This window comes from Homo sapiens, chromosome 7 (assembly GCF_000001405.40).
Source record: "Homo sapiens chromosome 7, GRCh38.p14 Primary Assembly".
Lineage (NCBI taxonomy): Eukaryota > Metazoa > Chordata > Mammalia > Primates > Hominidae > Homo > Homo sapiens.
The window spans coordinates 22,162,832-22,176,289 of NC_000007.14; the positions used below are offsets into that span (position 1 = coordinate 22,162,832).

Here is a 13,458-nt window from a genome sequence, read left to right on the forward strand (position 1 = left end):
GATACTAGGTGGTCCATTAATTTCAACAGTGACTCTAAGAAGAGAGCTAGCCTCACTACACAGGTGAATACTATTTCAATACATTTTAGGTCAGAATGAGGCCAGATGCTGTCTAGTCCTCAGAAATTCACATTCTGTAAAACCAGGTGCTTCTAAAGTAGTTCCAAATGAGTATAGATTTCTGCAACAGAATTTGTAACATGATTCAAATGCCCACTCCTAGGAACTTACTTGAAAACATTGGATACATGTGTGAACACAGAGGTAAAAGGGACTGCTAATTTTCATTTTAAAATAAAATGAAAATTATTTCATTTTAAAATAAAATGAAAATTATTTCATTTTAAAATAAAATGAAAATTATTTCATTTTAAAATAAAATGAAAATTATTTCATTTTAAAATAAAATGAAAATTATTTCATTTAAAATAAAAAAAGGAAATAACCTAAATGCCTCAGCAACTGAGAACAGTTGACTAAGTTATTATATATGCATTTAACGGACTATTCAGCAGCCAGAAAAATGATGGCCCAGCAGTACATTTACTGACAGAGAATATGCACAATGTATTGTTGAGTAGAAAAGCAAGTAAGAAAAGAATATGTTAGGACGATCTACTTCTGTTAACAATGTTTATTTATATGATTAATGTCACTATCTGGAGGGATATATACTGAATAGTTAACAGTGGTTTCTCAAGGTAATGAGATTTTAGAGCATATGAATTATTTTTATTGTACTTATTAGCATTTCCTAATTTATACACGATGACCATATGTAAATTATGCTGTTAAAATTACATAAAAATAACAACCTCAAAGGCAAAGTGTTTAAATGACTAGGAATGCAACAGCAGCTTGGCATATTCTAAACCAATCTATTCTTGTTGTCTCCAAAATGATAAGCTGAGTGTCTTGGACACATTAAAAAGATGACTAGGAATAGGGAATGCTATGACATCAAACACTTGAGGGTTGTTGGACAGCATTATATATTCTTTAACACTAATATACAATTGCAAAATTGGAATAAACTTTATTTCAGGCTTTGCTAATATTTTAAAATATAATTTAGTCAATGTCTCCCCATCCTGCAAAAATACATTAAGACCATCTTTGATTTCCACCTGTGAAATAAACTCAGGCAAACACAAAAAAAATCTGTTTCTATTTCTTTTAGTTTTTCTCTTGAAAGGCAAAATATAATAACAATTTATCTAGGCCAACCATGGTGGCTGATGCCTATAATCCCAGCGCTTTGGGAGGCTGAGGCAGGAGGATTGCTTGAGCCCAGGAGTTTAAGGCCAGCCCAGGAAAGAAAGTGAGACCTCATCTCTACAAAGAAAAAAATTAACTGGGTATGGTGATGGGCATCTGTAGAGCCAGCTAGTTGGGATGCAGAGACAGGAGGGTCACTTGAGCCTAGAAGGTTGAGGTTGCAGCGAGCCATGATCGAGCCACTCTACTCCAGCCTAGGTAACAGAGCAAGACCTGTCTCAAAGATTTATCTTACATTATTTCCCCTTAAACAAATGTTCTTCTCTTCTTTTCCTGTGAATATAATACCTTCACTAATATAAAGAAAAGAAATCAAGAAAATTAAGAAATGCAATTTTTTAGGTCATCATATGTAAATGAAGATATGAACTTTGTAGTCAAGCTGCATATATATGTTCTATGATTATGGACTAGCAGAATAAAACAATTTCAAGAAGCAACACTTCAACCATTCTCCATTCATAGTTATCTGCTTTACCTTGTTTTCCTCCCTGCAAGATATATATTTAAAATATATTTACCGGTTAAATTTGCATTTGTATTAATCTGATTTCCAATATTAGGATACAGACATTCTTTTACATTTTGTCTATGCTAGATTACACTGATTTATAAATTTAGCTGCTGATGGAAATAATGGGAAGGCATGTGGTGAGAGTTATAACTTCTATGTAATGCACAGAATATTAGCTGGCTCAGAGCTATGAATTTAATGCTCTTTATGATGCTATTAAATACTATTACAATAAAAATACTTATCTAAAATATCTAAAACCAGCACAAATAGCTTTAATCTATAAATAATGTTTTAAAACCACTGGAAAAAACAAATAATTTAGACCACTTCTAAGACGTTGGTTGTAGTGGAATATGTAACACATCTTCACTAAGATGTGCATAAAAATATCTCACATTAAATATAGATTCCCTTTGTGTTTGTGGTATTATTTCATAAAAGGCAGAGTGCAAATATACAGAAACAATCATAAAGAAAGACTTCTGGCTTAAAATGTTTTAGAGTTCATGGGTTTTGATTATCGGTAAAAAGGCTCATAAAAATCTGAACTAAATTTGTGTATATAATGTCTTAGTCAAAGACTCAAAACATATATATCCAAGTTAAGTTCTAGAGATTGTTTAGGGACATCCTATAGGACACTAAATTATTAAATGACAATCACAAATAATATTAGGATCATAGTTAAAGAATGTAGTTTAAAGGCATCTCATTTGTTATAAGTATATTTTATATTACTTAATGGGTGGTAATTGTTTTAGAAATATGTTAGCATTAAAATGTAAATGAAATTAGCTCACAGATATTTTTCCAAAACACTTTTGAAGAAAGATGTTCAAAATCTTATCGCTATTGCTAAATGTCTTAGCAACACTCCACTTGAAAGCTGTGAAGGAAATCTGCACATATTATTGAAACTTTCCAAATTCAAAACTAAATAACAGTTCAAGATCAATTTTATGAACTGGTTCTAAAAAGTGGCAAAATATCGACTATAGCTTTGTTTGCTCATAGGATATAGTAAAGCACTAAAAGTAATCATCATTTCCAGTTATTTATTTTTTTAAGAGAGATGTTACTTTATGTCCTTTATGAAGTTTTAAAGTATTCTTTTAGGTGGGAAAATGCTGTAAAGTTGGGAGACACGTAACAATTATTTAACAGAGAAAGGATATTAAATAAGCATTATCATTAGGTCTTTTGTTTTTGAAGGCAGTCTCCCTCTGTCATCTAAACTGGAGAGCAGTAGCACGGTCTCGGCTCACTGCAGCTTCAACCTCCTGGACTTAAGTAATCCTCCTCCCTCAGCATCTCATGTAGCTGGGACCACAGGCGCATGCCATCATGCCCAGCTAGTTTTGGTATGCCTATATATATATACACCAAATATCTATCTATCTATATACCAAATATATATATGTATATTATATATATATTATATACATATATATGTATCATATATATATATATCATATATATATTTTAGAGATGGGGTCTCACTATGTTGCCCAGCTGCTCTTGAACTCCTGGACCCAAGCAATCCTCCCACCTTGGCCTCCCAAAGTGCTGGAATTACAGGTGTGAGCCACGACACCCAGCCATCATTAGGTCTTAATAGAACTTTAGTATACACAAAAGCAATCCATTTTCCTTAAAATTTTCATGTGGTTTAGAGTGGAATCTTCAGTTTCATTTAATAAAAACAGCACAGCAACAGCTTATTTAAACACTTAAAATGCGTCTGAATACATTAAATACTGTGAAGGAAGAAGATCATTTGGAGACTTTCAGTAAGTTTACATGGATTTCTTTTGTGGCATTTCAATGATCCTATGTTGCATCTCTTCTAGTTAGTGAATAAAATTATAAGGCTTCCTTAACTGGTCATTAACCTTCTAATCACATCCATCATTCTCAGAGAGCATGCAGTGACAAAGCTGTGAAAAGATGACAGTTGATTCCAGGGGTTAGGTTCGACCTCCCATGTGGGGGAATGGCCTGTCTCCCCTGAGATACTTGCCAGGAACATTATATCACATATGTGCATTTTCCTTCACAAGTGGTCTGACACTTAACTGATTCTCCTTTAAGTCCATTTATTCCATGATCTTCCCATTCCACACAATCTCTTGACTCTGGGGTTTACCCAGCAGGCCAATTTTGCCTCCAGATTTCTAAGCAATCATGAGGCACAGATGTGAAGCGAACATAATATAAACAGTGTAATATAGCCACAACATAGAATGTGAAAACAGCTGTTCACATTTCCAGTTTCCCCTGTCTGTCTCATTTCATCTTCTACCTTGGATATCATTACATTAATATTTAACATATCCACATTCTACTATGGGGTTGAATAAATTAAGGAAGGCAGTTAATTCCTAACGTGGGACATCTGTCTGAGAGGAAGTGGACACAGCAGCCTGAAGATAATGAAGGATATTGCCTTAACAGAGCCTGGCACAAGTCATCAGTTGTCATGAAGACAGTGTACGTGAGAAGGAAGTCATCCAGGAGGGTCTCTGCAAAGAAAAAAAAAACAAACACAAGGTAAGCAAAGAGGTGGATAAGAAGAGCAGCTGCTTATCTGGGCCCCAGAACCATGTGCATGGCAGAAATATGATAAATATTGATAGCTGTGGGAGGGATTAGGAGAATTTTAGCCAGGAAAGACATTATTTATTAAAATTAAGATATGAAAAACTCCTTATATCAAATGCCTCAAGCAATAAGATATTTTTGTTGCAGAGCTCTCTAAACATACAATTTTGTTATCATCTTGTTTTCCTGAAATTTCATTTATATTTGTGGGTAAAGATGATATAGAAAACAAATGCATAAATAATGTGCTTTAAAAAATAAATTTTACAAGACTTCTGAGGTGTACACTCAAGTCCTACGGGGAATAAAGCCTTCATGTGTTAATAAATTAAGGTTTTTTCCAAAGCCATTTACTTAAGTCTAGGGCAAGAACAATGAATAATAAAACCCAGAAGACACATATCAGGTTCCAAGGCCATTCACCTTTATCTCTTAAATGCATCTTTAAGAAGCTGGGAAAGTGATGAGTGATTTTCTTAGTCTTGAAGAGAGACAGAACTGAGTCCAGTTAAAATTGGAGAGCAGGTACAATGTATCACAACATACTTCTTCCTAATTTCTTTTTTCTACCAACCAAACCAGGTTACATTGTTATCATCTTTGTGCTTTAAGTGTTCTTGGAAGAGTTCAGTTTGTATACAATATGGAATTGCTAAAGAGGCAAACTCTGACTTTCAATGTAATTTCCAATATGGTACAAAAGATTATATGCAGAATGTAAAGTGGTGATTTTGCCACAACAGTGATTATCTAGTCTCCTTAACTTAAAATTCATTTTACAATATGATTTAATTTTCATCTTTTACATTCCAGACATCACATTTTTAGTTATATAAAACAGTAATAAATTATTAGAGTAATTAGCTTGTGTACTGTTGTTATGGACTGAATGCTTATGTCCTTTGCAACACCCCCACCCCTGCCACTTTATATGTTGAAACCTTACCCCTAGTATGATGTATTAGGAGGGGGTATTTGAGAGGTAATTAGGATTGGATAAGGCCATGAGGGTGGAGCCCTCATGAATGGCATTGCTATCTTTATAAGAGTCCTGAGAAAGCTCCTTTCATCTCTCTACCATACAAGTATCGAGGAGACTGTGGCCTATGAACCAGGAAGCAGGTCCTCACCAGACACTGAATCTGCTAGCACCTTGATCTTGGACTCCCCAGCCTCCAGGCTGTGAGAAATAAATGTCTGTTGTTTAAGCTTCCCAGGCTATGGTATTTTGTTATAGCAGCTTGAGCTGACTAAGACATACACTCAATAGTGCTTATGGTCTCCAAGATCTACATGTTATAATGATGATGTGTAAGTAAAAATAATTGCCCAGTATAGAGCCCTATAGCTCTACATTGAAGACTGGATGAAAGAAAATCTCCAGAATTTTTAGGAATAACCAGTAATATTTACTTTAAAAGTTAATCAGAAAAACAAGGTAATATTTATGAACACAAAACTCTGATATACGAGGTTGTGGATGACATCTACAGTTCTATATTAGCTGCAGGGCATAACTTATTTCTGCTTGGTTGCAGAATATCAAGGAAATCCTAATCCACATAGGTAAGTGGTTGCAAATGGTAGGTTTTTCAAAAGTTTGCTTTTTAATTGCAAGATGCCTGTAATTAAAATGAACCAAGGGTGTTAATGAAGAGTATTAACAGAATTTATCTGAAAGATATTTTATTTCTAAGTTCATAGTATTCCCTGTCAAAATAATAAATTCGACAAATTTTCTTATTTGATTTAAAACATGTTTTTAAAAGTCTAAACTTACATTGTTGTATCACACTGCAATATGTTAGCAATCAGTAGTCTAACTTACTATTACTCTATGGCAAAAGCGAATTCCTAAACAGATATACCTGGGCCTTGCTGGGCATAAATTAGACCTAGCACAAAAAGGCTGTGGTGGCGTGCCTGATCCAACAATGTCACATGAATGGACATGCACAGCCTGTGTACGCAGAAGAGCCAGGGGCCCCCTACTAGAGTCTCTGTTTATGGAAGTTTCAAATATATGAACAAGGCACGGGAAGGTTTACTTTACTTGTCTCCAAACAAGTTAACCTGGCAGCTCAAGTTAAACACTGGTCATCCTAATGAGAAATTTGGAATATATAATGTGTGCCTTTCATTACAGTTTTTAAAAATAGTTTCAATTAAAATCAATCACTTGCATATTAGCTGGAAACCAAGCATATTTTGGAAATACAATTTGAAAACTATTCCTCTGGGCCTGTTGAAGAGTAATGTTTACAAATTACAACATTTCTCTGTGTTAAATGTGGTTGATGGAAATCCTCAACCTTTCAGGTCTGATTAGAAATTAAGCTGAATCTGGCCAGGTGTGGTGGCTCACGCCTGTAATCCCAGCACTTTGAGAGGCCAAGGTGAGTAGATTGCTTGAGGCCAGGAGCTAGAGACCAGCCTGGCCAACATTGCGAAACTCCATCTCTACTGTTAAAAAAAAAAAAAAAAAAGCTGGGTGTGGTGGCATATGCCTATAATCCCAGCTACTCAGGAGGCTGAGGTAGGAGGATGGCTTGAACTCAGGCGGTGGAAGTTGCAGTGAGCCAAGATCATGTCACTGCCCTCTAGCCTGTGCAACAGAGCGAGACTCTGTGTCAAAAAAAAAAAAAAAAAAAAAAGCTGAATCTTCCCAGATACTCAGGAGGCTGAGGTAGGAGGATGGCTGGAACCCAGGTGGCAGAGGTTGCAAGTGAGCCAAGATTATGCCACTGCACTTTAGCCTGGGCGACACAGAGAGACTCTGTCTCAAAAAAAAAAAAAATTAAGCTGTTTCTTTTTTGCACTCAATATTAGACACAAGCAGCAAGGACAACAGAGTAGTTTTTTTGTTTGTTTGTTTGTTTTTGAGACTGTCACCCAGGCTGCAGTGCAAACTTCGCCTCCCAGGTTCAAGTGATTCTTGTGCCTCAGCCTCCCAAGTAGCTGGGACTACTGGCATGCACCACCATGTCCAGCTAATTTTTGTAGTTTGAGTAGAGATGGGGTTTCACCATATTGGCTGGGCTGGTCTCAAACTCTTGGCCTCAGGTGATCTGCCAGCCTTGGCCTCCCAAAGTGCTGGGATTACGGGCGTGAGCCACTGAGCCTGGCCAACAGAGTAGCTTTGAATCTAGTTTAGGGTTTTCAATGGCTCTTGTAGATAGGAGCCACCAGTGCGCAGAAACCATTGGGTGACAGCACTGAGAGGGAGTTGGCATTTAAAATGCTGGATGTGACACAGAGGTTCAGACTCTTTGGGGTGTTCTTACACTTAGCTGCATTTAATGAGGTTAGAACTATTCTCTCATCAAGATTTACTTCATTAGTAGCTGAGATTAAAAAGAACACCATTAAACCATTAACTTTGACATAACCAGTCATTCCATTCCAGAACAACCTTAGATAATGAACTGACTACCAGAGTCTGGTTGGATGGTGGCAAACCCATTTGGCATTCAATTCAATTAATCAGCTCACATATGACAATATTTTGTTAAGGGCTTTGACCCAGAAATGCTTATTTTCTCCTAAGCCAATATCATATTTAAAATTCAACAGCATTTACCTAATTATCTGTCATAGAAATATTAATTAAAATAAAAACAATGAGGCTATATAAAAACAGCTCCAGTTGAAGTCCTAATAAAGAAAATAGTTAAAAATTCTAATGAATAGAACAGATTCCCAATACTCATAACTCAAATATCTCTCTATTTAACTACTATATTGTTCTAAATTTTTCTATACAAAGAGCTTTCCTTTATTCTTTTCCAGCATTCATGTTTTTTTTTTTTTCTGCTGTGCAGATTCTGAAAGTAATTGAGTGGTATGAATGAAAATACTATAATCAAAGTGATGCACTTCAAATAAAAGTGCAATTTATAACAGCCATGCTTCCAAAAAAGAGGCTGTCCCATTGGTATTTAGAGATATTTTTAGAACCATGATGGTTATATGAATGATCCCCTGAAGACTATTAGCCGACAATAGCCATTTAGAAAGACTTACAAATCCACTGGCATCCAAATTAAAACACTATAATTATCTATTACACTACATAGTACTTAATAATAATTTAAGACAACAGGCAGAAAAGCATGTTTGTATACATAAAAGTATCTTTCATTTAAACAAATTCATAGTTGCCATACATATTAACACTCTGAGTAAAAAAAGTATTCATTTTGATTTCTAACTTTGTGAATACCTAAGCATATTAATATGCATATGTTAATACACAAAACCTTTTTCTTTCATATCCTTTCTTTTTTTTGAGATGGAGTTTTGCTCTTCTTGCCTAGGCTGGAGTGCAGTGGCACGATCTCAGCTCACTGCAACCTCCACCTCCCAGATTCAAGTGATTCTCCGGCCTCAGCCTCCTGAGTAGTTGGGACTACAGGTGTGCGCTACCACGCCCGGCTAATTTTTGTATTTTTAGTAGAGATGGGGGTTTCACCATGTTGGCCAGGCTGGTCTCAAACTTCTGACCTCAGGTGATCTGCCCGCCTCAGCCTCCCAAAGTGCTGGGATTACAGGCATGAGCCACGTTGCCAGCCATTTTCTTTGATATTCTATGCACTAAGTAAATTACTAAATCTAATCCTAAATTATTGGCTTATCAATAAATTTTTGGGACTATCCTCCCCACTCCAAAATAAAATAATACTTTCGTAGTGGCTTTTTGAATACAAGAAACATCCTTGCAAGTAAAAAAGTAACATCTTGATAATCATTGAAATTGGAAGGTAAATACTTCTATAGTTTTAACTATTATAAAACTTGAAATAAAATATATATAGAAATGGTTTTGAAATCCATGCATGTAATTAGCTATACTGATGTCATATAGGACTTTTCCCTATCATCTGCTACTATTTTAATTTTTGGGGGTTTTTTTTGAGATGGAGTCTCACTCTGGCACCCAGGCTGGAGTACAGTGGCATGATCTCAGCTCACTGCAATCTCCGCCTCCTGGGTTCAAGCTATTCTCCTGCCTCAGCCTCTGGAGCAACTGGGATTACAGGCACACACCACCATGCCCGGCTAATTTTTGTATTTTTAGTAGAGACTGGGGTTTCACCATGTTGGCCAGGTTGGTCTCGAACTCCTGACCTCAGGTGATCTGCATGCCTCGGGCTCCCAAAGTTCTGGGATTGCAGGTATAAGCCACCGTGCCCGGCCTATTTTAATTTTTAGGTCATATAAAAATAATTATCTAATTTTATTTAATTTTATTTGAATGTATTTCTCTTGTATGTACCAATTAAAACATTTTTCTCTGTCTCATTTTAAGTATATGAAGCTCTAAAAATTCCCATTTTATTTCTGCAAAACACAAGTATCCCTAGAGCATGCTAGAGTTGTGTCAAGATAGAATAGTAAGAGGTTTGGTACAGACCATTTTCATGGAGTTCTGTTACATATAAATGTAATCAAATTTTAAAAACTGATCCAAATGTTACCAAAAGGTCTAAGCTTAATGCTTTCTTTGTAACATAAAAACAAAAAACAAAAACAAAACCCTGAAGTCTAAAAATCACTAGAAGTATAGCGTTACGTAGGAAAAATTATATAAATCTACCTTGGTTATTTTTTCAACACTCATAAGCAAAATGCACTGCGATAATGAAACCACTCAGCTGTTAAAGTGAATTACCAAGAAAGCAAATTAAAAGAATTTTGACAGGCAACTGCCTATAGTAGCCATTTAATCCAAGTATGGTAATGTGAATATTCAACATTTCTGTATTAACTCATATTCCCTGAAGTACTATTAGCCGTTTTGTTTCACCTGTATTTCTACTTCAGATGTAATGGAATTTAAGGCACTCTAAAATATATTCTACTTAACCTTTATTTTAAGAAGCCAAGAAAAGCTTTGAACATGAAAGGGCCCATTTCTGGTCCTGGAATGTTACAACTTGCCATTATTTTTTGAGAAGCAGTGCCAAAATGTACCATGTAATTTGATTAAGCACAAATAAAATTTTTTTCATGTTCAGGTTGGAATAATAGATTAAAGTGCTATGCCATTAAAAGCAATGCTTCTTTCCCTGTGTATCTTACATTTCTGAAAGTGATATTAACGACCTCGAACGCAGCTTTTTACTACAGCTCTTAAATTCACTTAATCCCTGCCAATTCTTACAGGCTCACCATAGCGTTTTCTTTAGCCATTCTAACATAACCAAATCTTGAGATCTAGCTTTATTTTTAGGTATTTGTGGCAGAAAAAAAGTGCTTACTTATTTAACGCTGTTTATATATCAAATCTTAAAAGTCACCCCTTTAAATGACAGGAACTTACTACAGACAGGGCTTGGGGACACTCTTCAAATAATCAAATCTGTTTTTATTTTAACTTGTAAAATTCAGTTTTAGAATCCTGTCATTCCGTCTTCAAGAAAGAATGATTTGAATACAACAGGTATTCCGTTCTTAGCTATGCTTAATTCTATACACTGCCTTTTAAAAATGTTACTTGGAGGGGCATAGAGTAATAAACAGGGGGCTTGTCTACCTTCTCCAGGCTGCGGCACTCAGAGAAAGGGTGCAGGTCACCCTGGGACTAAGAGCGGTGAGCGGCCTCATAGCTCCTGTTGTTACATCCCAATCAGCTGCTCTCAGTGTCTAGGTACAATTGCAGCCCATTCATGGCATATGCATGCGTCTGCCAAGTATGCTGGGAAGCTCAGAAAACAGTATAAAGAATACTATGGAAACAGACAGCTGGAAATCTAACGGGGTAGCCTAATGCATAGTCCTTAATCTCTCTAGGCCTTAGTTAAGTCACCTGTAAAGTGGCTATCATATCTATACCTAGCAGAGTTACAGTGAAGATTAAATAAGACAGTGTATCTAAAGCAACTGGCAGAGAGCCTGGTATACCCTAGGCACTCTAGATAAATACTACCTATTATTTATTTTTATAAAATAAAATTATTTCAACCTTGTCCCAATTCTCCAAGTGCTACCAATCCGCCAACAAAAACTTGAGAACTATGAATTTCCAAGAAGAATTGGAGGAGGAAAAGGAGAAGCAAATGTGAGCAAAGCAACGGATGTGGGTGGGTCTGTGGCTGAGTCACAAACCTGTGGTCTTGTGACTTGCAGGTCTTGTTTAGTCCCTAGAGATGCTTTCTGTGAGTTGACAAAATTTAAAAGTCAGAAGATCTGGCAACACCAGGGCCACATCTCCTATGGCAACCATGTTTAGAGCCAACTTGCCTACTTTATGCAGGAGGCACTCTCCAGTTCATCACCCTTCTGCTCTGGCAGTCTTCACTCACTCACTTTTACTGCCTGTGGACATGCAAGTTGGTAAGTCTTGGTCTACAGCACAGTTGTGTAGTAGTAATAGAAGAGATCACATAGTATAATTGAAAAGTAAAGCTAAAGAAATAGGTTGGAGGAAATTCCTGAAGGATCTTTGAATGCTAAACTAAGGAGCCTGGGGCTTATTCCACAGGAAAAGGGAAGTGAAGGGAGATTTTCAAGACCAGAAGTGACAAGAGAGATATGAGTTAAGCTTGCTTCATCAGGGAACTCAGACTGGATAAGGGAAGGATAAGGGGAGGGAGGTGAGTTTGCTTTTAAACTTGCTGAGCTTGGGTTCCCCAGGTTACTCTAAGGAAAGCTATTAGGAAAAAATATCAAAAACCAGAGCTTGCCAAAGAGGGTTACAGTTATGATTGTGGGAGCCAGTACCTAAAGAGGATGGCTATGGCCAACATGATTTCTCAGAAAAATAAGCAGCAGTCTAAGGGAGTGGGATATTCATGTTTGGGCGATGGTAAGGGAAAGATGAGTTAAGGAAGGGGAAAGAGAAGGAGGAGAGAAACAGAATAAAGAGAAACGAATGTACAGTCAATAGCCTCCTTTCTGTAAACAAACAAACGGGACACAAATGTAATAACCAACAAGAAAGAAAAGGATTGGAAATGAGTGTTAAATGCTGCTTGAAGAGGCTTTATCGGGCTCAGGACTCAAAGAGCACTGGATTTGTTATGTGGACAGTCCCTGGTTTGATGACCTTAGAGAGATGCCCCTTGGTGAATGGTGGGGGCATACTCTAGTTAAAAGGAACGAAGGATATTCTGATAATCAGTGGTCACACCATATATCACACTGTTTTTTCTTTTTTTCTCCAAAGACTCCTCCTAAAGTTGTAGAGCTCATTGTTTAGTAAGAGCAGTTGCTCTCACAAGGAGCTGGGATGAAAAATTTCTCAATAATCAATACAATTATCATTTTATTTAACTGTACAGATTAGAATGTGGGAATTGTCATGGGCACGAAGCCTTCAGCACCAATCTGCCAGCATCTACCAACAAAAATTAATATCCAGCTCTAAGATTCACTCGGTCCAACTCGGACCTCTCGGAGTTGCTGCATGGTTGTCTGATTAACATCACACACGTGTTCTAAACATACAAGCTGTGTTCCTTAGTGTTTGTCCATTAAACGTTCTTAACTTTCAGGAAACAAAGAAAATTAATTTAAACATAATATCCTAAATTAGAAGCCTGAGATATGGTTATTACAAGCAAACTAATAGTCATTCTAACAACTGAATCAACTTAGGACATTGTAATGTTTTTACCTCTCAAGCACCAAAAGGTTCTGTATTATGAACTTTTTTCAAAACCTGAAATACATCATCATTCCCAATGTTAATATTAGCATTAAATTTCAGAAAAATAACATTGTATTTACTTTTTTTTCATGTATTAGTACGTTCTCATGCTGCTAATAAAGACGTACCAGAGACTGGGTAATCTATAAAGGAAAGACGTTTAAAGGACTCACAGTTCCACATGGCTCAGGAGGCCTCACAATCACAGTAGGGGATGAAAGAGCAAAGGCATGTCTTACATGGTGTGTGCGTGTCAAAGGCAAAACAGCGTGTGCGGGGGAACTCCCCTTTATAAAACCATCAGATCTCATGAGACTTATTCACTATCATGAGAACTGCAGGGGAAAGACTTGCCCCATGATTCAATTCCCTCCCACCAGGTCCCTCCCATGACATGCAGGAATTGTAGGAG

General features: G+C 36.6%; 1 protein-coding gene across 9 annotated transcripts in view; it reads right to left on the reverse strand.

The window, feature by feature from the left end:
- The window catches only part of RAPGEF5 (Rap guanine nucleotide exchange factor 5), a 238,919-nt gene that overhangs the window by 44,596 nt on the left and 180,865 nt on the right, over window positions 1–13,458 (reverse strand). For all 9 annotated transcript variants that reach the window (NM_012294.5, XM_017012837.3, XM_047421084.1 and 6 more), the window contains one exon: window positions 4,239–4,317. In NM_012294.5, the coding sequence (NP_036426.4) occupies window positions 4,239–4,317 (79 nt within the window). The remainder of the gene's footprint in view (window positions 1–4,238; window positions 4,318–13,458) is intronic.